The sequence below is a fragment of the Homo sapiens genome, chromosome 10, assembly GCF_000001405.40.
Source record: "Homo sapiens chromosome 10, GRCh38.p14 Primary Assembly".
NCBI classification, from domain to species: domain Eukaryota; kingdom Metazoa; phylum Chordata; class Mammalia; order Primates; family Hominidae; genus Homo; species Homo sapiens.
This window is the reverse complement of record NC_000010.11, coordinates 19,403,693-19,431,263: the sequence shown is the minus strand read 5'-3', so window position 1 is coordinate 19,431,263 and position 27,571 is coordinate 19,403,693. Positions and strand designations below refer to the sequence as shown.

The 27,571-nt window shown below is 36.1% G+C and overlaps 1 protein-coding gene across 10 annotated transcripts in view, besides 1 other annotated feature; it reads right to left on the bottom strand.

Moving 5' to 3' along the window:
- MALRD1 (MAM and LDL receptor class A domain containing 1) overlaps positions 1-27,571 on the bottom strand; it is a 687,552-nt gene that overhangs the window by 303,215 nt on the left and 356,766 nt on the right. The window lies entirely within an intron of this gene.
- Positions 14,627-15,376: an enhancer, noted in NCBI's record as "OCT4-NANOG hESC enhancer chr10:19704817-19705566 (GRCh37/hg19 assembly coordinates)". NCBI's record gives its function as "activates a minimal SCP1, AML or CMV promoter by ChIP-STARR-seq in primed H9 embryonic stem cells {active_cell/tissue: H9 hESC(primed)}" and the evidence as "EXISTENCE:reporter gene assay evidence [ECO:0000049][PMID:30033119]".

The following is a 27,571-nucleotide window of genomic DNA, read 5'->3' as shown; positions in this document are numbered from 1 at the left end:
AAATGAAGAATTAAGTCTATAACAGAAGAGAGAAGTCTAGCCATCAATTCATGCAGGATGGGAATTAAGTGGGATAAAAATTGGTTTACTGTTCATGGGGTCAGGGGAGGGAGAGAGTTAGGAAAAATAGCTAATATATGATGGGCTTAATACATACGTGATGGGTTGATAGGCACAGCAAACTACCATGGCACACATTTATCTATGTAACAAACCTTCACATCCTGCACATGTACACCAGAACTTGAAATAAAAATTAAAATTAAAAAATGGCTTATTAACTAAAGATTAGAATCCCAACATGATAAATTTATTTTTTTCTTACTTACTCAACTCATATATGGCGCATCAAGTCTACATTAGGCACCCTTCTATTTGCTGGTAAAATGTTAAAATAATAGAAACACAACTTAAATTTATGCTTGTTTTACACAAATTCGAACAAGGCATATTTAACTTGCTCAATACATTTTAATACTCCTTAGCGCAGGTGAGGACACATAATGAAACCTGCACAGATACAATCCACATTAAGGTCAAATTTTCATTCAAATCCAATTAATATTAAGTGTCTTTTATGTGCCAATAGAGCTGGGTGTCACATGGGAACATAAGAATACATGATTTAAGGAGCTCACAGATAAAAGGCAAGGAAAACATGTAATGATTATACTTGTGTGTGAGCAAATTTTATTATATTATAGCAAAAAGGGAGAGTACTTTAGTGGGCTATCAGTGAAATGAAGGACCTGTATGAAATTAGCAAGGTGTAATATAAAGTGTGTAGCACTTGAAATGGGCCTCGGAAGGTGAACAGGATACCAGCAAGAGCATAAAGAAAATGAGGAGGCCGGGGCATGGTGGCTCATGCCTGTAATCCCAGCGCTTTGGGAGGCCGAGGTGGGTGGATCACGAGGTCAAATCAAGACCATCCTGGCTAACACAGTGAAGCCCCATGTCTACTAAAAATACAAAAACAAAATTAGCCGGGCATGGTGGTGGGTGCCTGTAGTCCCAGCTACTTGGGAGGCTCAGGCAGAAGAATGGCATGAACCCAGGAGGCAAAGCTTGCAGTGAGCCAAGACTGTGCCACTGCACTCCAGCCTGGGCAACAGAGTGAGCCTCCATCTCAAAAAAAAAAAAAAAAAAAAAGGAAAATGGAGAAATTCCAAGCAAAGAAACCAAGAAGCGGCATGATTGAAGGCACTGGAGTATGGAAGTGTCTGAATATTATGGGAATCTCGAATAGTCTGAGATGTTGAGAACATCAATAGTGAGTTAAAGACCTTAAGAAGTAATGACTGGGTACATTGGCCATATTCTGAAAGCGTCTATGACAAGGATTTGTGGGATGAGTCAGGGCAGGAATCTTAAAGATGGTAGGGAATTTGGGGAGGTGAAGCTCAGAAGCCTGAGAGTAGGCATGGCCTTGGAATAAGCGGGAGAATTGAAGGGTCACATTGAAGATCAAGTTGACATTAGATATCATAAATTCATTAATGGAACTGATCAATATGAGATCAATATCAAGAACTAGAAATTAGATGAAGATAATTGAACGTATGGGGGTAAAATATCTAGGATAGGGCTGAGAATATTGGGGGCTATAGCAGGTATCAAAAATACCCACAGGCTTAGCAGCAACTGGACACAGGCTCTGAGTACCAAGTGACTCTATTTGTTTTGTTTTGTTTTATTTTGAGATGGAATCTCACTCTGTTGCCCAGGCTGGGGTACAATGGCATGGCCTCGGCTCACCGCAACCTCCACCTCCCGGGTTCACGTGATCCTCCAGCTTCAGCCTTCTGAGTAGCTGGGATCACAGGTGTGCACCACCACGCCCGGCTCATTTTTGTATTTTTAGTAGAGATGGGGTTTCACCACCAGGCTGGTCTTAAACTCCTGACCTCAGGCAATCCACCTGTCTCGGCCTCCTGAAGTGCTGGGATTACAGGTGTGAGCCACCACGCCCGGCCTAAGTGACTCTATTTGACTCCCAGTCACATTACACATTACACATTACATTAGTATGTGACTTTGGACAAGTCACTCAATTTATTCTGGCTTTGTTTTCCTCAGTTGTAACGTGAAGATAACAGTAATACATATTTACAGTCCCTTAATGCAAGCCTTTGTCGTCAAGTGTGTTTTTAAATTTAGAATTGCTTAAACTTTAGAAAGTTCTTATAGTACACATACCATATACTAGGTGTAATAGCCCAGTAAGTTTGTAATAGCAGTTCCATAATAACATACAGGAATACTTCCAAAGTAAAATATATGGCTATTTATGTTCAATGGAATAAATTCAGACTACAGATAGGCTCATGTCAGTTTTTGTCAAATTTGATGGCAAGTGAGTTACAATTTTTTTAAAGAGCTTCAGAGCTTTTTAGACTTTGAATTTATGGTTATTTCTCTGGAATAGATTTTATGCAAATCTAAAAGAGTCTACAGCTAATTTCATCTTATTCTGAAAATACAAAATGGGATTAACTTATACGTAAACTTTAAACATTTCAGTATGCTTGCGGTTTAAATAATGTAACTTTTCTATTACCTGATTTTTTTTTCAAATTTTTGACATTTCAAATGATTGAAAGAGTTTCTGGATAGGGGTGTGTGAACTTTAGCACCTAAACCATAAGGTTGTGATCATTAAAAGAGATAATATATGTGAAGGATTTTGGAGAGCATCTGGACCTGGAAGCACTCAGTAGTTCCTGTGGTGGTGAGGATGGTGGTGTTTATGAAGGAAAAGAAGAGGCAGAGATTAGGAGAATAAGGGGAATTTGGGGTTACCATGAGATAGAAAAGTCATTTGAGAAATAAAATGGCAGAAGATCGTATTCAGGGATTAAAATTTCAGAGTTAAAGATTTCAGAATCAGATCAGAACAATTTCAGGTGAAGAAGACTTTTCTGAAGCAGTTTCCAAGGTTCAGGTCTAAGAAAAGAAAAAAGAGAAGTCAGATAAACCTATGCATGAGCTTCATAAAGAAGGAAAACCTTTGATGAAATTAATTAAACGTGGAGCTTGCCGTGAAATCTCGGTGAAACGCTTGGAGATCATCCACCCATCTCCTAATTGCCAACGCCTCACCTCCCAAAGCCTCCCTGCCCACCCCAAGGAGAAACTAAGGCAGCAGAGGAAAGTGACGCTGGGTCAAACTGTTCTTTATTCTGTCCACAAGGTGGGAACGTTGATGCTGATCACAGATTCTGGACAGGTAAGAAAGGCAAAGTATTTACAGCTCTTGATGCTTCTAGCTCAGGAAATTAGTGTATGCAATTTGAGATTTAGGCTGCACTCATGTGTATACAGTGATATGCAACATACATAAGCTTCTCACTGGGATTGCATTCAAGGCAAATTCCATGTCTTAAATCTCTGTGTTCCTCTATCAAAGATGCATCCTACACAGAAGATGCTCAGTAAACTGCAAAATGATTGGGACTCTTTTAGCCCTCATGTAGGTATGTTCTATATATAAATTATAATAATATTAACCCCAAAATAGATGTAACTATACTAGGATCTTACACACAGTCTATATAACGCCAATAATAACCCCTAGAAGCCCTATTATTTATCCATTTTACAAATAAGGAAATTGAGGATCAGACTACTTAGGGGATGAAGCCAAAAATACATTGCAGGAAATTTAAGAGATTGAACCCAGATTTGTTTGAATTTGATGTCCGTGCTACCATCCACTACTAGGAACTAGAGAGCTAAATTAACAAGAGGCCATCTGCGAGACATGGTTTAAGCCAGTGTTAGGCAATTGTCATATTTCTCTTTAAAATGGCAATAACAATACTCACTCTATAATCTATTATCTGGACATTTTAACTGCTGAAACACCAGGGTGAGAATTAAAAATAAAATTTTGATTTGGTTTAGCCTCTCAATTTATTACGTATATAAAAATATGATAGCCATGCTCATTAAGGTTTAATATTATGAAAGAGCTGTGTATGTCCCTTAAAGCCTTGGGCAAGAGGACTGAGACCCAAATGCCCATGAATAGTGGATTAATTACTCAGCAATAAATGGTAAGACATTTACAAAGAACAAGGATGCCATATAGAAAGAAAAAATATTGCTTTTATTAATTCATATCCTTGTTCTAAGGATTAAAAATGGAGGAACTAGAATATAAAATATAAAACTAAGCGATAAAACTGGTTAAGAGAAAATTCATGTAAAAATTAAGCAAATTGTAGTGCACTGACTTAGGTGTCAGCATCGACATTCTTCATAGCGACAGTCATTACGGAAAAGAAACTGCAAATATAGACATGCACATACAACACACATTTATATAATCGAAAAGAGGAAGCTAATTAGAAAAGTGTTATGAGACCACATTTAAAAGGAAAAAAATATATATAAAATCCTACCCATAGACTTAAGATGCCAGAATTTATTTTCATTTATCAAAGCCTGAATGTTTTTGTTTGTTTGTTTTGAGATGGAGCCCAGGCTGGAGTGCAGTGGCACGATCTCGGCTCACTGCAACCTCTACCTCCCAGGTTCAAGTGATTCTCTTGCCTCAGCCTCCCAAGAAGCTGGGACTACAGGCATGCCCCACCATGCCCAGCTAATTTTTTGTGTTTTTAGTAGAGACAGGGTTTTACCATGTTGGCCAGGTTGGTCTCAAACTCCTGACCTCAAATGATTCACCCACCTCAACCTCCCAAAGTGCTGGGATTACAAGCGTGAGCCACCGTGCCCAGCCAAAGCTTGAAAATTTTAAAACTGCATGTGGCTAGTAGGAAAAATTACATATATATATCATGACTGATTAGTGATGTCTTTCATAAGTGCTGAATGGGAAAAAAATTCATGCTTTCTGCAGGTATTTTCCATCCCTTAAACTTCATGGTAAGTGACAAATGAACTGAACTCTTTCACTATTCTCAAACTCCATTCATCTATATTTACTTTATTTTGAACTCAATGGAGTGTAACAGAAATAATCCAGCTCTCTATTTATTTGACATGTTTTAACCACTAAGTACCCCATTTTCCTCATTCTGAAACATGAAAACTGTCACATTTACCAAGCAGGCTATTGTGAGGATTGGAAATCAAGGATTTAAAGCTTCTAACATGATGCTTGGCATATGGAAGACATTAACATTTTGCTGATATATATTCATATGTCAACACTCATTAATAAGACTGTTAAAAATATTTTTCTAAAATATAAATAATAATTGTTTAAACAATAGCATCCCTCATCTTATTTTCTTTCCAGTGAAATGTTTTGGGAGAGAGATGAAGAAAAATAAAACTAAGGAAAAATATACATGTATGCTTTAATTTGTCATGGATTAGATTAGTGCTCTGGGATTTGGGCAGGAGGCAAGACTAATGAATGAGCTGGTAGCCTGTGGTTCGAAGGAGACTCTAAGGACAAATAATCACCCTTATTTTAATTTTTAACAATTCAATCGTCCTCCTCCACAACTCCCAGGACCACAGACGTTTCCATGCTAAAACTATTTGTTCTATCAAGAAATGGAGTCAAACGCGGGCTGGAATTCTTTTCCCTCTTACTTCCCTCTCCGGTTTTAAACATCTCAGGAGAATGCACTGAACTCCCTTAATGCAACAGAGAACAGGTACACTGTCCCTCACTTCGCTCTGCCCTTGCAGTTCTCTGCAGCCCATCGAGAACAGTTACATCCTCCCTGTAATGCACACTTGTCAGCCTTTGGTTTAAAAGGAAGAAAAGAAAAGGAAAGAAAAGAAAAGACAGTCACAGACAGATGTGTGGGTATGGATCCATGTATACATACACACACACACGTATATACTTCCACACACACTTACACCCTTCTACCAGAACATATTCAATGCTACTATTCCTTAATAGTCACTGGAGACCATTTTTTCCACAGGGCTGACTCACTGATGATGAATAAAGGGAAGAAGGGGAAATCACAAATAATACATTAAGACCAAACTAAGGTAAAATGTCAAAAGCAATAGCCAAAACTCTATTATTAAGGCTAATAAGGAAAAGACGAATTTTTAAAGCCTAATAAAAAGGGCTTGGGTTTACTTCACATTGTCATTTAATAGCTGCTAAAGGGCAGATTGTCACTCTCTTGGAAAGCCACTCTGGAAGACAAAAAGAGAAAAAATGGCCCCCAAGCACTTTTTAATGATCTGATTAAATATAAAACTATCATATTTTAAAAGGCAAATCCAAAAATAATTCATGTCAACCATGAATATGATTTTTGGAAAGTGTTCTCCCTGTTGTAATCCTATCCTTTTCTCCTTTGTTGCCTTTATTTTTTATTTTTTTTTTCCATTTCACTCTTTGGTTCTTTTGACATTCAGTTTTAAAGAGCCACCCTTTTGTCAGCTAGAGACTCAGAATTTTCTAGTGCCTGATATTAATCCAGTTACTGGTATCTGCTCCCAAGCAAATTCAGGTCAGGATTCTACTGCTTTTGGATAAAAGCTGTATCAAGACTTAGAGAAAAAAAACAAATGTGATTTTTAAAGAAAATATTATTTCTTACCACCAAACACAATTGGAGGAGTTTCTGAAAACCAAATCAGGCAATGCTGAATTGTCCATGTCACAAAAGCAATGAACACATTTATGTAATATTTTAATTGTAACACTGAAAATTACTTTAGTTCTGATTTTTGAAATATCTCTGCAAAAAAGCAGATCTCATATTAGTGTATGTTTTTGTGTAGAAAAGTGAGTATTTTTATTTTTAAATATTGTTTTAGAACTGAACTTAGTTAAGGTTACATTTAAGAATAATTAGCAGCTGGGCATGGTGGCTCATGCCTGTGATCCCAGAACTTTGGGAGGCTGAGGCAGGTGGATCACTTGAAGTCAGGAGATCGAGACCAGACTGGCCAACATGGCGAAACCCCATCTCTACTAAAAATACAAAAATGAGCTAAGCGTGGTGGTGGGTGCCTGTAATCCCAGCTACTCGAGAGGCTGAGGCAGGAGAATCGCTTGAACCTGGAAGGTGCAGGTTGCAGTAAGCTGAGATTGTGCCACTGCACTCCACCCTGGCTGGGCAACAGAGCAAGACTCTATCTAAAAAACAAAAGAAAAAAAAATAAAGAAAAACAAAGAACAAGTGGCATAATTGCAGAAACACACATGAGCTAGATTTCCAAACTCTTGGCTCAATTTTTTTCATTAAACTGATACTCAAAACAAATTGAGTCTTTTTTTCTGTTTTATTTTCGACTATAGATGCTATGTCCATCTCTAAGGTTGCATTGATATTTGTACATGTCATCTCTGTAAGATTAACATCCAACATAAATGATCCATATGAAATAATCACCTCCATTTAGTCTTGTGACATTTGAGTCAGCCTCTTCCTATGTCAAACTGTGTTCATTGTTAGGATGGCCGCCCGTATGCAGATTGAAATCAGCCTCCCTGCTGCATCCTGGCTGTTCTTGAACAGCAGAAGGAAGTGCTTCAGGGTGACATGAATCTGCCAATTTTACACGTCTCTTTTCAGTTTTAGGGAAGGAACACATGACCTCCCTCCTAGGGACTCAATCCCCTAATTTCTCCTCTCCCATTCCTGGAAGCTGAATGGGTGCTCTCATCATTTGACATACATGATGACCTGCCACGGGAACCTCTCCATGTGCCTACATTCTTCTATAGACACTCAGAGCATCACCTGTACTACATAGCTTGCAGACAGAGTGACTCACGGCTTAATGTATTTTGTTTAAACTTTGCCATCACCATTCACTTAGAGCACTTCATTGTAGGTTTATGTTTTTCTGGGGGGTGGGAGGGCATTTTTGTACCAGATTAATCTACCTATCATTTAATATATTATTTAATATTTATTTAATAATAAGCTTCTTAATTATTGGGGAAATAGTCTACCTTAAAAATAGTAGAAATCATCATTATAATATTTGTTCATAGATTGGTAATAACTTCAGGTCCACAGAGAGCAAATTTAGAGTCAAACTGAGCAAACAGGATTGCATTTTGCCATGGAGTGGTAGGTGTGTACAATATCCTAGATCTGTTTGTTGGAACAATATAAATTGCAATCTGACAAAATCTTCTACATAAGATTTAGATGATCCTCAAACAGCCATTGCTAGGCTTCCCAAAACTTGCTAAATTGGAATTAGCACATTTTTTGGTTAATATCAGACTTTCAATTCTAAAGGCATCCTCCAACCTGACAGCATAGGACAGGAAGCCATAAATCTATGGTGAGCACTGCAAGGGCTTAAGAATCTCGCTTCGTAGGAGAACAGTAGATATGAGCAGTACAAGAGATACCAGAGCCTACTTACTGATGGGATTGCCCTGAAGTGAGATAGAAACAGAGTGCAGGCCCAAACTGCTTCTCTTGGAGGCATACTTGAAACAGAAGAGCCAAAAATGAAAATGCTATCATTATTTAGCACTTTTTGTCATTGAAATTTCCAGCCTAATTAGTGAGGCTTCAAAAACTTTCCCCATTGAGGGGGAAATGAAAACTCAGACAAAATAAACTTCAGGAAAAAATTCTAGACAGAAGGTGAAATCTGGCTTAGAAAATGATATAATATAGTAATTACTTTACATAGTTCCAGCAAACCATAGGTCGAGGGTATTCTACATCTAATCATGAAGTATAAAAATGCAATTCTCATTTGTTCAATTTCACTCTAAATCTGTATCTCTGGGGCCAGAAAGCGATTACTACTCTATGCACAAACAATACAGAGTAATAATTATCTTTACTATCCTTATATCCTCTCTTACATTTTGTCTAACTAGCCTTCAGGTTTTATACCATGACTGATGCAAATGTTGTAAGTCTTCTGGTTACTCTATGTTTTTCTGTGTTTACTCTCTATATGTGACATTTTTAACATCTAAAAGATATTTTCTCACCAATAGCTTTGTTATTGTTTTGTTTGAAATGTATTTCTCATACATTGATTACTGTGTTCTGACACAAAGGTATTTTATTGATCATAAAATTGCAAAGGTACTGCAAAGTGGCATTCCATCTCAGGGCTTCACAGAAAATTTTACTAACTACTAGTAATGCCAACATGAGGTTAGAAAAGAGCATGATTTAAATGGAAACTAATAAAAGCAGTAAGACTTTCTAAAGGTTAAATCAATGTGGTTTCCTTTTGAAAATGTCTTCCTGGAAAAAATGCTGTTTTTCTGCACTAGCATCTTTATCAGTCTTCCAGAGGATTCTGCTCATTACTGGGATCATTCATTATTCTTTGTTGTGTTTTAATTATTTTTTGTTGCATCATCAAAGGCAATTTGCTACAGATGGGTCCAGTCATATGCTCCTTCCATCCTTCTTGGCACAAACACACTCACTTTGGCTCTGATCTTCAAAATCTCTGCATCTAAGCCAAACTCTCAACATGTCTTTCAAGTAGAGGGTTTAACCCTTTACTGGCCAGGGGAAAAAAGGCAATAGCAATCTGCCTCTGAAAAGTGGAGAGAAAGACGATTAATTGTAAAAATCACCTTTATGAGCTGCTGACAATCCAATACTATGATAGTGGGAAAAACACAAATGATGTTTTTAACCTTATTAACATGACTAGAAGATATGGGATACGTTGACTAGTGCAGCCATTAATTATTGATGCATTTAGCAAAATTTGCAATAATGAAATGTGTTTCTCATACTCTTTAGTGTGTAAAGCTTTTAAACATTCTCTAACTGGGGCATAATTATCTAGGGGCACAGTAATTACAGGACTTGGTATCTGTAATGCCTCATACTTACTTCACTGCAGCCTCTAACCAGAAATTATAAATAATCCCTTTTAAGATTGCCCATCTTTTCCCACAGTTACTTGTTATTCCCTACTTAAGTTAGTGACTTTCTCCATTCATCTCCAAAGCTAGCATTGGAATGTCAGTGCTTAGAATCAGAGCGCATTGGAAAGCCAGGGTTCAAATCCTGGTGTCACTGGCAGAGTTTCTAAAACATAGCATTTAACAAATTCTAGGATGAAAGTGTGCACAAACATGCACACATACACATACACACACAAACAGATGCATCAAAAGCATCTTCAGAGACAGGAAAAGACATCAGGTATTGTTGTTTTGGCTGATTTGAAGGGGGCACTAACCCTTTAAGGTGGCTGATTACAGAGCAAGATCTCTCCCATTACCCCACACTCTGTGCCCCACATATCCTTGGGAATATTCATCTTTATCATTCAAATCCCATGATCAACCAAGGGTAGAGTCATTTTGCAAGTGTAAGAGAGGGTACTCAGGGAAGTCTATGTGAACAAAGTCAAAATGAATGGCAACTCAAAAGAGACAAGTAGCCCTGTTTCCATAAAAAATGAAATGCACCCTTCTGATTCCAGTGGTGAGGATGGTTTCACAGCCTTCCCCACTTTGGAGTTGCCCATTTGAGGGAGGCTGTGAGCCTCTGATGACGTTGCTACCCCTGTGCACTGCATTTATTGTGTATCTATCCCTGGAAGTTTCTGTAAGTCAAATGCATTTTTTAAATTTTACAATATTGCTTTGCAGCATGGGAGACAAAGCTCTGATCCAGGCAGAGGGTATGTGCACAAAAGACTCTAAAAGACACAATAATAAGGATTTAAAAATAACATGTTCCTTATCTAGTTGCAACTTGATTAAATGGCTTGTTACCCAGAGCATGAATCACTGATGAGCATTAGTTAAATATAGACATGACTTTAAGATAAAACTTATTCCTCTGTTTTTCATATTAGATGTAGGGAATAGTGATTCCATGGAAACAAATACATGATTGTTTTTCCTTATGAAGATAACTTTTGTTAGATATAAGTTCTAAATTTCTTTTCAAAGAATCAATATGTCAGTATGTTCAATTCTTTGCCTTCTACTTTTAAACTTAACTTCTTCATACAGCAACGTTTTTCGATTACCGGCTCCACCCTGACTCATTCCGATTACCTACTCCACCCTGACTCATTCCGATTACCTGCTCTGTCATAAACATTTTTCCTGCCAAACCACTCACCCCGTCATTCTCTTTAAATGAGCCAATCATAATTAGTTTAGCCTGCTCAGTCTAACCCTAGCCGACAGGGGAACGACAGAGCAGCAGGGGCCACGAGTGTCAGGCATAAGAACCCCTTCCCCTCCCTTGTCCAAGTGTGCGCTCCACTGCTCCCTCTGTAAGGGTGCAACCTTCTATAGAAGTATCTTGCCTTGCTGAGAATTAAAAAGAAAATTTTATATTCCAGTGCCATTTATTTTGCGGCACCAAAACTTTACATATAACACTTTGATCTTTCTATTTAATAGAGGACAGTGAGTGACACTTTATGTCTTCTTTTTATTTTTTTCCTTTCCTAATAGTAGGATAGTATTTAGTTTATTGATCCATTCAATAAACATTTATCATGCCTGGTTCTAAGCTTTACGAATAAGAAAAGTTGACGACTATTCAGGAGTTCAGAGTCTATTGGAAAAGATAGCTGTAAAATACAATACTACAACTACTACAATTAAAGTATGAATATATTGCAGTGATCACTGTTTTGGGCTGGAATGTTTCAGAGAAGCGGTAATACTGAATGGGATTTGACGAGTAAAAGGATTTTTCCATTTGAAAGAAGGAAAATCAGCCGGGCATGGTGGCTCACATCTGTAATCCCAGCACTTTGGGAGGCAGAGGCCAGCAGACTACCTGAGGCCAGGAGTTTGAGACCAGCCTGGCCAACTACTCTTTTTAGTAGAGACAGTGCAACCCCATCTCTAATAACAACAACAAAAAAATTAAATTTGCTGGGCATGGTGGCATGCACCTGTAGTCATGGCTACTCAGGGGGCTGATACAGGAGAATCACTTGAACCCGGGAGGTGGAGGTTACAGTGAGCTGAGATCGTGCCACTGCACTCCAGCCTGGGTGACAGAATGAGACTCAGTCTCAAACAAACAAACAAAACAAACAAAACAAAGAAAGAAAGAAAGAAGATGAAGAAGAAGGAGGAGAAGGAGAATGAGAATAAGGAAAATCATTTTAAGAGGACCATGTTTTAAACCAGGAAAGTGTAAAGGATCATGAGTTAAGGGAAATGAAGGTATTAAAAGACAAGGGTATATAGATCACGTGGGAGTCAGGTGGCAAAGGATGGAGATGTGGAAAGGAAGGCGGTTAGCTGGAGAAGGGTGTGCATACTGAAATGGTTGAGTTCATCCTCTGTGGTTATGGGAAACCACCAAATGATTTTGAATAGTGAAATGATCACGTATGTGCTCCACCATACTACTATTTTTGTGGCAGGATAGACAGAATAGCTTTCAAGGAGGCAATGTGGATAAAGGGCACTGTCCCAGGCACTAAGAGAGATGTGAAGTTAGAATGAAAGGAGGCCAATCCCAAAACTGCTATGTGATAACCTGAGCTAAGATGTTGGTTATAAGGATAGAAAAAATTATGAAAGGCTTAAGGGTTTAACTGAGAGACAATCACAATTTATTGACCTTAAGATTTGAAATATATATTTTTTCCATTGGCAGATAAAGAGATATCTCTTCTATGTGGCTTTGAAAATAAGCTTTCATATCACATTTCATGATTAAAATATGATGTCTTAATTTTGCAATTATTTTAGTAATCAGAAATGTATCTAAGGAAAATCATATGATCATAACAGTGTAGCATCCACCCTGAAATTATTCTCTGTTATTGTAAACAATTTAGACATCATGGAAGGCACTAAAAACAAACATTCCTTAAAATGTTACTACATGTCAGGCATAGCAGTGGCTGTTGGAGTTCATTTAAAGATGAATAAAACCTTAATCTCAATCTCCAAAAAACGTATGCTGAAATCCCAAGAAAAATATAAAACATACCTAAAAAGAGATTAGCTTGAAAAACATAATCTTTTTTTAAAATTATTTTTAGTTTAAAATCTTAATCATGGTGCTTATGTTTGAAAGCAATGTGTATTTGTTGGGGGCGTGGGGGGGAATGGTGCATATTTGATCTATTATCTAGCTAGTTTACTGAATATATCTCTTTCCTAGGCACAGATAATCTATAATGATAATTTATCAACATATCTATATCTATAGATAGATAGATAGAGACAGGTCAATTGATCTACATTCATCCTAAGGCTTTACTTTATGATGAAAATATTCATATGGGATCATCGATATTAAAAAAATTTGTCAAGACTTTTCTTAGATAAATTTGTTTTCCTTTAGAGAAATTAATCCAGAGGGCAGGTGTGTGTATGTGTGTGTGTGTGCGTGTGTATGTGTGGTTTGCTGTTGTAACCCCAGTGCACCGTAGGCACTCATTAACTCAGTAAAGCTTTGTTGAACAATAAGGAAATGATGGTTTCACTATACCATACATTTATATGATGTGACACATAGTGTAATCCATACCATGTTACATGCATTCAGCTCACTGAGAATTGAGATCTTTACATTGTATTGAATTAGTGAGTTAAAACTACGCTCAATTAACTGCTGCTCAAGGTGTACCTAAAAATGAATGATCTCAGTCTAAGGAAAGCATTCTGGAATGCTGATGTGACCCTCAATATCATATTCATTTAAAACTATTACATACGCTGACTTAAGATATAGCTTTAGAGATCTCTGCTTATGTAAATTAGTAAAGCTAATTAAAACTTTACTTAAGAGTAAATTTGTTTCACTGCCTAAAGCTGTGCAACAAATTTATTTCACAGGGTTTGTCTTGCCATATTGATATGTTAATGGAATTCAATGAGTATTAAGTACCAAATAGTCCCCTCTCCTGGTATATGTCATAACAAGTTGAAAAATACAAAATGCTATTTCAAAAACTCTTAAGTATTTACAACTAATTTGGGGAAGATAAGTCACATACACATGAAAGTATTATAAAATAGGGAAACTTAAAAATGTCCACCAAAATCAAAGTTCAATTTGGTATGCTAAATTTATTGTAAATCCAATTGATTAGGCAGTTTGATAGGAGTTAAAGAAAAAAACAGTGGACATTTATAGCTATATGAAAGGATACAATGACCCAGAGAGACCATGTGAAGAGAAAAATTAAGGAGGCAAAGACCCAGTCCTCAGGTAATCCAGTATTTAGAAACTGGAAGAGACACAGATGGAAAAAGAGATAAGAATAAAAAGCTGGGAAAGTGGGAGGAAAACCAAGGAGGTATGGTATCCCATAAGCTAAAAAGAGAAAGGGCTTCCAAGAAGGGCTGGCCATAGTTGTTGAATGTGACTGAACAGTCAAGCAATTTGGTGACAGGTAGCGAAGTGTTCATCACCTGTTGGTGAGATGAAACTGATGACCTTCCCAAGAGCAGATTCTACGGAGTTTTAGGGATTGGTCAGTGAATACAAATTAAAGAAGAAAGAGCAAGAATGGCAAGTTTTTGAAAAGTTTTCCTGTGCAGGGAAGCAGAGTAAAGAAATGATAACTCAAGCAAGGAATATGATAGATGAAAACCTTTTTAAGATGTTTGTAGGCTCATTTGCTGATGCAGTGAGAGGGTGAGACTTGAAATAGAAGAGCATCAAGTAAACAAGGTCCTTCAGCAGAAGAGCAGGAATAAAATCCAGAACATAGCTGGATAGTAAATAGAGAGGTACTGTATGAGATATAGCTGTAAAAGTTGACTTTTGTTGCCAAACTGTTGAGAGTGATACACAAGAATTACAGGTTTGGACTTTTTTTTTTTCCACCTGGCAATGAGGAGCTGCTGAATATATTTGAGCAGATGAGAAGGGTTAGAACTCACATCAATGAAGATTAAGCTGCTAGTTGTTATCAGGATGTCCCTGGGGCAATCAGCCTCCAAGATGGACCTTAATCTCTGCCTCTCAATATTCATTTATTCTGGCCTGTGGTGCTCTTCGGTAGTCCCTTCCCACATTGAATAGTGCTGGCTGATAACAACAAATCACATATTGTGGAAATGCTGATTTGTGGCTTCTCTGATTCTCTCAACTGGGTTACTTTCAGATAATTTGTGGAACAGATCTCTTCCTTGTAACTCTCATTTAGTTTAATTGGCACAACCACTACCTTGCTTTGTCTTTTAAATCTAACCTACTTCAAACACAATTAAGTAGAACTCCAGATCCTAAAAACCTAACACAAACTACATCCATGATAATAGGAACTTCAGTTTATCCTGGAAGTTAGGCAAATTAGTTAACAAGCAACCTGCACTTTCTTACTAACATATAAGCAGTTTGTTTATAGCCACAGACAAATCCGAAAACTTTCCTCACTCAGTTTCTACTTTTTTCTTTAAAAGCCCACTTCATTAAGTAAAAGGTTGAGTTTTACCAAATTTATCAAGCCGTATTCTTAATATTTGGAATTCACGTGTGAACAACACAGAAAACTGATGGCTGCTGTTTACAAAGATTTACTGTCTAGAGATTTTATAAAGACCATGAGAACACCCCTTTCTATTGGCAGTATTACAAAGCAGGGTTTTTCACTTAATACAATTTTGGTATTGTCTCTCTTTGATATGAAAGCTGTCCTAGGGTCTTTTAAAAAATAATGATCTTTTAGAAGTCTATAGAAATCATCTATTCTCTAGACCCATTTCTTAAAAGAGCACATTTATGAATTTTTAAAAAATTAGTCAACTTTAAAATAATCTGATAATTTGAATATATCTTATTTTTTTAAGTCTTGCTTTCCTGCTTGATCTACATGCAGAAATAGTACATTGGTTGTCATTTACCAAGTTTAAATATGTGAATTAACTTAATTAGCCTTAAGCTAGTACAATAACACATTATTTATGAAGATAAATCATCTTAACAACAAATAAAAAATTAGAGGGATTATGTCTTTAAAGTATTGATTTTGTCTAATAATTCACAAGGGGGAATCACAGTATCATTAACTATTTTTAGGAAAAGTTTATGCAACCACCTTTATTGAAATGAATACAAGTCTTATACTAATCTCGATAAGGTATGGTCAACGCCCAAATAAATAAATCCTTTGTATGGATGTGTTTTATTAGTATGCTCTAGTTTTCTCTAGTTTAACACATTTAAAAATTATTGTATCTACTAAAGATTATTTTGTCTGTCCTATGTATTGAATTATAGTTTTGGTGTTTAAACAACAACAAAAAAGATGTTTTCTATACCTATTGTTTTAATTTCAAAAGTAGAGCTAAATTATGGTTTAAATAGGGCTTCATAGCCTAATAGGTGAAACAAACCGTGGTTGACAATATTATTTCTACAGAAAAAAAGTGTTATGAGTTCAAGTAGAAGGTATGCAGATGATTTTATGGAAAATAAGATCATTTGGTCCTGTCTGTAATCAGTATGAAACCTGTAGTCTTTGGCCTGTAGTAAAGGGTTGCACAATATGACTCTCTTTTATATTTATATAGAAAGTTATGCCATTTATAAATTTTGCAAGAAACTCCATGAAATTGCTAGCCTGGTGTCCAGGAAATTTCTAGCCTGTAGAGTTCTTGGGGGAATCAGTGCCTCAGACGATGCCGACTACAGTGCTGATTATCAACAGCTTTCACAAAGCCCTCCTTTCCCTTCCCCTACACTCCGTGAAGTCACTATTACATCCTTTCCCAACTTTCACTAATACATTTCTGAGAATAACTACCAAATTTTCACCTCTAACTTTAACATCTTTCTGGACACAGCTGTACAATTCATATTAAATGCTAGATGTCATACAAGCACTAAAATTACATGGCAATCTAAAACCAATTCATCATTTTCTTCTCCAAAACTAGGTTGATCATCTTCCTGAGTTTCCTAAGTTTTACCCCAATAACTCAAATAAAAAACTTAGGATCTTTATGCCTCTCTTTCCTTGGTTTCCCAATTCTGAGTCACAAACCACTTACTTAACAATATATTTTTTAAAATTTATCACATAGGTTGTATCTTATTCGTGACAAAATGACTTATCAGTTATTGCTCTGTAATAATTTTAAGTTGCACCTGAATGGATTTTACTTCTTGTCCCCCCTCTAGTGTGTTCCATGTGCTACCACTACGACAACGTTCTGGAAAATATGTAGGAATTATTTATCCATAATTTTAATTATTAAACAGAGTACATAATTATATAAAGTTCTGTAGAGTCTATAACTAAGAGAACCTTACTGATAAAACTACTAAATGATCTACTACATTTAAGAGGAAATTGAACTTTTTTTTTTTGTTTTTTGGAAACTGATCTTAGAAGGAAGGAGAATCAATTATGAGGAATGCAATTGGTAAAAATCATTGTTTTTTTTTTTTTGGTTTTTGTTTTTTTGAGACAGAGTCTCACTCTGTCACCCAGGCTGGAGTGCAGTAGTGCGATCTCGGCTCACTGCAACCTCTGCTTCCTCGGTTCAAGCGATTCTCCAGCCTCAGCCCCCCAAGTGGCTGGGACTACAGGTACCCGCCAGAGATGGTGTTTCACCATATTGGCCAGGCTGGTCTCAAACTCCTGACCTTGTGATCCACTCGCCTCGGCCTCCCAAAGCACTGGGATTACAGGTGTAAGCCACCACACACAGCCTAAAATCATTTAAAAAAAACCTCACTGGCTATGTGGCAGTGCAGAAAAACAAGGAGAAACTAGAGAATAATAATCTGGTAAATGGGTGGAAAAGATTGGGAGGTAATAAATTAAATTGTCCTAAAATCCTTTTTTTTTCATGATTAAAAGAGAAGTAATCTAAATTATTTCTATTAAAATAATTAAAATTGGAAACATAGTTTTCAAAGCATAAATCAAAAATTGTAAATAAAGGAAATCTCTCAAATTCAATCTAGTATAAAGCAGAAAATTGGTGCAAGAAGCACAGGAAAAGTATACTAAACTGAGTATTACTGTTGAAGGGTTAGGGCGCTTTTTCTGAGAACATAAATCTACCAATATCTCAGACCTAAATTTGAAATAATGTTGCAAGATGATAAAAAGTTAAAGACACTTTACACAATATAATCATGGTCAAATCATTAATAGTGCCTCAATCTCAAAACTATTTAGTAGTTTTTCGTTATCAAGGGCTATGAAGTCAGAGACTGAAAATCTTTGAGTCTCAGTTTTTCATTTGTAAAATGCGAGGATAACTGTTTCAAAATATTTTTAAGAGAACTGGGTTACATCATGTATGTGATGGTAACCTTACACATAGGAGGTATTCCACAATTGATGTTAACTATTATTTTTTTTCTAAGATTTCCATCTCTTTACATAAAGAGATTCAATTTTTAAGAATAAAGTTATGTTATAAAATACATCATATAGGAATAATTTTCTTTCTTTCTTTGTAAAATAAAATGTTTGATCTACATAGTAATAACTTTTAATTTATTAAACACATGAAATGTCTACACTTAACATTACTATGAGAGAAAACAGTGATAGGTAAATCATAGAATTAATCCCCTTGACAGATGAGCAGGATTTTCATGGAAAAAGATGGCAAGACACAAGCTCAGGAGCAGTAGTGAAATGATGATTCTTCTGTTTTATGGTTGGCAGACTCTGCCTCCTGGTGGCTTATCTCTTACATTGGTTTGTCATTTTTCACCATGAGTTCATCATGTGCAGGAGGCTGTGTGTTTAAGTTATCAATTCTTCACTATAGGGCTACAGGTTCCACCTGAAAGATTCCAGGGTCCTACATTTGTTTTAATACTAATTTCTTAGCTCATCATGTCTTCATTATGCAACAGTATACATTTGGATTCCCCACTGAATCACTTGTACAAATTTGGGTTTTCTAGTTATATCAGAGACGTTTCAGCCCCCATACAAGATTCCTGACAGGTGACAAACTTCTTTATTCTTTTCCTTTCTGGTTGATGGGGTTTTTCCAGTACCCCTTCAATTGATTAAGTAGTTTAATTGATGGAGGTTAAAAGCTCATTGCTGTCATTTAAGAGAGTACATAATATTATAAACTTGTATTTATGTATTTGAGACCGAGTTTCGCTCTTTCACCCAGACTGGAGTGCAATGGCGTGATTTCGGCTCACTGCAACCTCCACCTCCCGAGTTCAAGTGATTCTCCCACCTCAGCCTCCCGAGTAGCTGGGATTACAGGCCCATGCCTGGCTAATTTTTGTATTTTTAGTAGAGACAGGGTTTCACCATGTTGGCCAGGCTGGTCTTGAACTCCTGAATTCAGGTGATCCACCCACCTTGGCCTCCCAAAGTGCTGGGATTGCAGGTGTGAGTCACTGCACCCAGCCATAAACTTCTTAATACCATTACATGTTATACAATTTACTTAAGTAATGATCAATGTAAAGATATGAAAAACCATGAGTGAACAGTCAGTTGTCCCACAAGGCTTATACTTTAATTTTTTAACAGCTTACACATTTAATCAGAAAGTTTTGGCAGTTGCAACATTTTTTCCATCCATGAACTTAATATAGCTCTATAATTAAAATTTTCTCTTACCAAGCTCCAAATCACTGCTATGCTTAAAGAATTCTAGGAAAATACTAGTGTCCCTTGGTTGTTTGCCTGCTAAATGTTGGGTAAAGGCTGTGTGTGGAATTAGTAAACCTTTGAGTCCTAAACCTTGACAGGTAGTCTGGGGTGATAGTTAAGCGCTCGGATCCTGGAACTGGACTGTCTGGAGTTGTACTCCAGCTCAACCACTTACTAACATTAAAAAGTTAATGAGTTCTCTGTAACTTAGTTATCTGATCTGCATAAAGTATGATCATGGTAGCTTTTTTGCACTTATTATGCACATTAAATAAGATCATGTAGTTAGAAGAGTGCTTAGTTCATAGGAAGAGATGAATAAGACTTAGGTACCATTAATTGTTCCATTAAGCAAACATTTATTAATTGCCCATTACGAGCCAGGCTGTGTTTGGATAATACTGGTATTAGAGAGCACCAGGGAAATGCTAGCTGCTGCTGCTGCTGCTAGTGGTAGTTTTTGGAACTAAGCATATGTATTCACAAACCCAACTATTTTAGTTTGTGTTCTTCATATCTTTACCTAGCTGACCTAAAAAAGGCAACCTCATGGAGTCTGAACAATATCTTCTCGAAAGCTTGAATTTTATATTTTCAGGATTGGGTCACACATCATTGTGGACAATTGCTACATAATATTTTAAAACCACTCTTTCACTTACTGCTGCCTAAGAGAATGGCCTGATATTTAAAGTCTTCTCATTCAAAAAGTCGCAGATTTCATATTATAATAATCCTGCATTTGGTGAAAATATTTTTCTGAAAAAGAAATTATAGCACATTTACCAAAAATGCCCAATTAAGAGTGAATAAAATGGAAAAAATCCACATGGTCATATAGCTTATCAAGATGAACTATATTACTAGGCAACATTTATGTCAAAAAGATTCATTTATGTTCTTGTACACAAATTCAGTTTTTGACATAGTAGATGTCTAAATCTGTATATTCTGCACTATCCAATAAGCTAAATGGAATTTCTAGAATATTAGTTAATCATGTATTTGCTACTACCTTGCAACATTTATTCTTGACTCTTCCTAAAGTAGGTCCTCACTAAACACTTGATAAAGATAAAAAAAAAAAAAAGGAAGGAAGGAAGAATGGATGGAGGGGAGGGGAGGAGGGGAGGGAGGGAGGAAGGAAGTTGTTCACTAGCTTCTGTCTACCTCTACTTTCCTAGCGTCCATTATCAAGGTTATTCCCTGAAGTGCACAATGTTCACACTTAGCTGAGAGATTTAATTTAGATTTTCAGAGGTCAAGACCTAGGCTTGTACTATCCAAGTTTTTTGGTTTGAAATGCCTGACTACAGCTTCATTCCAGAGTACAAATTATTTCATCTATACGTTTTAAGTAGTGAGAAAAATGACTGTTTTCTAGACTTGAGGTTCATGAAGACCGCCTTGAGGTTCATTCAGAGTGGTTTGCAATGAGGTGAATAAAAAATCTATACTAAACTTGGGCGTGAGATATCAAAAACTATTTATCATACTAAATCTAGCTTAAATCTACAACTTGACATTGGATAATATAGGCAATATGAAAAGCATAAAGTACAAAAATAATACATTTGGAAAATGTTTAAGAATTGCTTAAATGAGGGTAAAACTGACAAAAAACTATAAGCAGTCATGGACGTTATCCATGTAGTAATTACGTGACATGGCTTGGAACAGACACAGAGCAAGCTACTAATTAACTAAAACCTGAAATGTCAATGACTAAGATTATTTTCTTGTCCATTTTGTGATGATATTGTGGACTACAGATTTTACAGATCTAAACATATGTCATGATCACCACATATTATATGTATCAAAATATCACTATGCACCCCATGAATATGCATATTATTTTTCAACTAAAATTAAGTTAAATTAAAAATAAAAAAGAAGATGGAGATGCTTTTACATTGTACAAATTGGAAGTAAATTTTGGCTATATAAAAGCTAAATGAAACTAAATCACTACTAGAATGTAAATTTAACATAATTATTTTTATTTAAAGTTCTTATTGTGAGATAACTATGAATTCACATGAAGTTTTAAGAAATAATATGGAGCAATCTCAAAATATCTTTTATCCAGTTCCCCCAATGGTAATGTCTTTCAAAACTAGAGTACAATATCATAACTAGGATATTGACACAAATACAGTCAAGATACAAAACATTTCAATTACCACAAGGATTGATAATATTCTTCATGTTACTCTCTAATAGCTGTACCTGCTTTTCTCCTATCCCATTTCCCTCCTTAACTTTTTGCAATCCCTAATATGTTATCTATTTATTTTCATTTATTTTTTTTAAAGATGGGGTCTCACTCTGTTGCCGAGGCTAGAGTGCATTGGCATGATCATAGCTCACTGCAGCCTTGATATCCTGAGCCCAAGTGGTCTTCCTGCTCCAGCTTCCCAAAGCACTGAGAGTACAGGTGTAAGCCACTGCACTCACCCAGCCTGTTATCTATTTCTGAAGGAATTCGGTCATTTCAAAAATGTCATATGAATGGAATCAAAAAATTAGTCACTTTTTGGAATCCTCATCTTTCAGTCAATCTGATTTTTTAGTGATTCATCCAGGTTGTTGCATGCAATAGTTTGCTCTTTTTCATTGCTGAGTGGTATTCTATGGTATGGATGTACCACAATTTATTTAACCATTCACTCACTGAAGGCCATCTGGGTTGTTTCTAGATATTGGCTGTTACAAAGAATGTTGTTGCTAGATAATGGCTAGTACAGTTAACAGAATGCTGTTATAAACATCTGTGTACAGGTATTCATGTGAACATAAGTCTTCATTTCTCTGGGATAAACAACTATCAGTGCAACTGCTGGATTATATGGTATTGCATGTTTAGTTTTTGGTTTATTTGTTTTTGAGAAACTGCCAAACCCTTTGTTACAGAGTTTCTATACCATTTTATATTCTCAGGAGCAATGTATAATGATTCAGTATCTCTATATCCTCCCAAGCACTTGGTATTGACGTTATTATCATTTAAATTTTTTTCACTATTCTGGTCGGCGTGTAGTGATATCTCACTGTGGATTTACCTTGTATTCCTCTAATGTCTACTGATGTTGAAAACCTTTTCATGTTTTTGTTTTGCCAACTGTATATTCTTTTCAGTGAAATGTCTCTTTATATCTTTTGCCCATTTTCTAATTGGATTGTTTAATTTTTTTGTTAATGCATTTCACTAATGTATGATTTTCTTTGTTTGAATATATCACCGATTATTTAATGGAGTTTATCTATTCATTGCAAGGATAGAATATATGACTCCTTTAAAAAACTCAAAGGAGAGTCAAATCTGAAGTCAAGGATCAAGGCTGGGAACTAGAATGTGCTTATGAAGAGAAACCACGTGTGAAGTTTGATACTTGTCTCTCCTTTTGTGTTGAAACTGGCCCAATTTTCCAACAAGCCAGATGCCCATAGAACTGAAGATTGAGAAACCTACAGTTTCACCTACAGATGCACCTGTCGCCTGCTGACCAATTCCTATTCCTTACCCTTCCCTAATTCCTGTTTTCCTTCATGTGGTTACCATGAGACACTAGACCCTTCATTCAAGCACCTGCTGCCTGTTGACCAACTTCTCTTCCTTTCCCTTCCTGTTTTCCTTCCCATCTATATAAATCCTTTACTTGGGGAGGAGGAATGGAGCTGAGGTTTGACTATCATCTCTCTGGCTGATGTTACCCATAATATAATAAAGCCTGGCAATACTCATTGTTTCAGTGATTGGCTTTCCGTGAGGTAAGCAAGGGAACCTAGACTGAATCCATGGTGTTTGGTAACAGTGTTATGGAAACACCCATTTTCAGGGTGTTTCAAAACTCTCTGCTTTGAACATTTTTGCTTATACCTCTTGGACACACAGATAAGCATTTCTTCTAAAGAACATACAAAGGAGGAACATAGCTATGTAACAGGATAATATGTGCAGCTTCAATATCACTTACTACTGCCAAATTGTTATTGTTTTACCAATTTATACTACTGCCAAAAGTATACTAAATTTTTAATTGTTTGTTCCACATCCATAGGAATCCTTGGTATTAGCTTTTTAACTTTTGCTCAACATTTGGGTATTTAGAGTTTATTTGCATTATCCTGATCACTATAGTGGTAGGGCATCTTTTTATAGGTTTATTAGTTGCCTTTTCTATTTCCTCTTAGGTGTGATACCTATGTATGTCTTTTGTCAATTTGTCTATGCTTTAGCAATTAGAAGTTCTTTATTTTTTATTTTTATTTTTATTATTTTTTAAGAAACAGGGCTTGCTCTGTTGCCCAGACTGGAGTGCAGTGGCACAATCACAGCTCACTGCAGCCTTGAACTCCTGCGCTCCAGTGAGCCTCCCACCTCAGCGTCCTGAGTTGTTGGGACTACAGGTGCACACCACCACATCTGGCTATTGATTTTTATTTTATGTTATTTTTTTGTAGTGATAGGGTCTGCCTATGTTTCCCAAAGTGGTCTTGAACTCCTGGCTTAAAGGAATCCTTCTGCCTCAGCTTCCCAAAATGCTGGGATTACAGCTGTGAGCCACCATGCCTGGCCAGGGGTTATTTATAGAGGCAGTAGTATATGGTGGTTACAAGCACAGGTACTGAGGCTTAAATCTTGGGATTTGATCCATGCTCATAGAAGCCAGATTCCAGAATTGGGGCGTGGGGAGTAGAGTCAAGACTAAAGGTAGAAGAGTTGGAATTCATCAGGAAGACAGTCCTCTCCTCATTTAAGACAGGAAGCAGCACATGTGTTTGGTGGTGGAAGGTATACACGAGGGTTCTATATGAAAAACTAAAAAAAATCTGATATATTAATCATCAGATTATCCTCCTATTTTGTGTTTTTATGGAGAAGTTGGCACTCCAATAACAAGTGAGGGTGTTGTATTTTTTCTCACTAAAGAGCTAATAAGCGAGTTGTGTATGGCACTATGTCATCTTAATGCTCTTCTGTGAGATAGGGTCATTATTTGAACATTCACCATGTGTGAGAACGGCAGAATGTTATTTATTTATTTATTTATTTATTTTTAAAGAATACGTCAACAGATCTCAATGCCCTTTATTTGCTTTAAAAACAAACATTTTCGTTTTCCTTGGATATTTATTCGTCATGAATAACTCACCCGCTGACAACATTCACCCTTTCTAACATTATCTCCTAAATGACAGACACCCTTAGCCAGGTTACCGGAGGCAAACAATAACAGCTTGTGCTCTAAGCTTAACACCTGACGGGATCTCATCGAGGCCCAGCTATCACTGAACACAGGCATGAAGTTTAATGAACACCCATCCAAACAGACAATGTGTGAGAATAAACACATAGAACGAATTCTGGCATTAAGTGAAAGGGCATTTAAATGGAAATACAATGAAAACTCCTGTTCAGAAAAGTAATAGATCGCACAGTTTTAGATGATACAGATACTAATGCAGTCTATTTTAAGAACACAACTAAACAAATATTCTGAATTTTACTTTTTCTCCCTTTCCTATGCTTACATTTCATGAAGGATTAATTTTAGAAAACTTTACCTAAAGTGTGTTAAATGCTTTATAGTTTCCAAAGCACTCTCTCTTCCACTGGTATAGCATTTGGTGGCCCTGAAAACAATTTGCAACTCATGTTATAATCATCATTTTACATATGTAAAGAAAGTGGCTTATGGATTCTAAATAATTTGCCCAAGATAATGAGTAGTAAGCGGCAGAGTTGACATTCAAATCCAAGTCTGTCTCCAGCTACATGACCAGTGATCTTTTGTCACATCTAGGAGCCCACTGTGACATTCTGTGGCTAAACACCTCATACTTCAGGAAATAAACTCTATAGGTCAAACGGTCTTCATCGCTCCAGCAAAAAGGAAAAAAAAAAATGCATCCTAACGCAAAAGTAATCCCTATGTTTAGTGAGTGGTGTTATCTGAAAATGGAGTCTATGTATGCATTGGAAGAATAGAACATGTGGCTCCTTTAAAAGATTCAAAGGAATGAGTCTAGGAACTAGGATATGTGTATGGAGAGAATCTATGTGTGAAAGTTTGATATCTGATTTTCCTTTTGTACTCTGAGTACAGCCATATTCTGGGTTCTAAGATTCTAATTAGGATCAACACTTCTGTGAAATCTATAACATGTAAATAAGCCTTGTGTTGGTGTTTTTGTTTTGAACTGATGGATGGGACCAAAGAGAGATGTGGTTTTCCTCCCATTGAATCTTTGTTGAAAACAGTATGTTGATTATAGCAGATGATCAAGTCAGGGGTCTCAGACTCTCAGGCAGCAACTAGAACAGAATAATCGATGGCCAAAACTATTGTTGGAAGTTGCAGGGAAAAGTACACAATGCTGAGAAGCAGTGCACAGTAAACAACTCTGTGGTAGATATAAAAATAATCTCAAAAATACAAGAGAATGGTGGGACTTCAAAGAGGGAGAGGAGGTGACCCTTCTTGTTGAACATAAATTTCCAGAAAAGGTAATAATTTTGTTCATATTTCTCCTTCTACATTCTACCAGTAGTTCTAACTTCCTTCATGCAAAATAACAAATAAGATGTTGACGCATTCTTACCAAATTAAGAAATATTTAGAAAGTTGAGGTAACGTGTATATATGCAAAACACCACTTCATTTCAATGCCTCATTTCTAAGTTTGATTATTTTCACAAATTCTGCCTTTCACAGGTTTTTTTGTTGTCATGAAAAACCTACTAAATAAAGTGCTACTTCTCTTCATGAATATACAAAGGACATGCATTTTCATGGATGCATTTATAAGAAGTTACAAGGAAAAGCAACTAGTACATTTGCTTTCTCTTCTCTGTGCATAGAATTTCGTATATTTTCAGAGCTCACCATATATGAGAAGATGCAAATGGATATATCCAGTACTCTGTTATGTATAATGATTCTGATCCAGGTGTTCACATTGAAGTTATTAAATTTAACAGAAATTTTCTGGAGTGCTATTTTTTAAACAAATTATTTCAGAAACAGAATTTTAAGTAATGTGCAGTATGTGTGTGCAAAATGAGTGAAGTGATATAAAACAATCACTTCCCCAGAGGTCTAGGAAAACAAAGTGACTCTATTATGGATATGTCACTTATTTGCCACCATTGATTGTTTTCCTACTCAATGATCTGGCTATATTTACATTAATAAAATTTTCTAAAATATTTAACAGTGCTGAAGCTACTTAGAAAAAAACACATATATTTGTGGCTTGGAAGTTTACAGGAAAATAAGTGGAAGATTTTCAAGGGAGCAACATACATCAGAAACTTCTAATATGAAATAGAATATACTACATCTTAGTCAAAGATAAATTATCTGTAGTTCCAGGTCAACACTCTGCCCTTAATCATTCTACAAGGCATAAAAAAATTTTAAGTACGGAGATATCTGCTTAAAATTATTGTACGAGATTTTTTCCTAATGATGTTTATTACTACATGGATAAAGTAATAATAAAAAAAGCATAAGTGCATTCTGAAATCACTGCAAACCATCTATCTATAAAAATAAAACTGTTCACAATCTCCCTACATCTAAGGAAACATAGTAAATTGTAAAAGTTTTACTTATATGCTCCCATTGTATTTTGTGTTCAAATGGAAAAACAAAATAAAAAGTATTTTTTTCTCTAAGCTTTACTATATTTTTAGTTTATCTTCTGCTTAGACATTTTTTAAAAACCTCACAAGAAACAAAATTGCTTAGTAAAAAGCTTAACGTGTTTAATGCCATTTGAAGTATTATTTTCTGCTTTTCACAATACATGTTTTCTTATGTTTTATATTCTTTTGACTACCAAGAAAATTCAGCTCCGATTCTAATGAAGCCACCAAAGTAATTAATTTCAATGTTCTGCCTTATAATTTGGGGATTTTCTGAAAAATAACTTAGAAACAAACGCTAAAAAGACTAAAGAATATTCTCACCATTCTTTCATCATTCAGGAGCCATATGCAGCTCTAACTTTGGTACGATTTTATTTGCTGAATGACCCCCAGTGAAGTCAAAAAGAGTCAAGATAA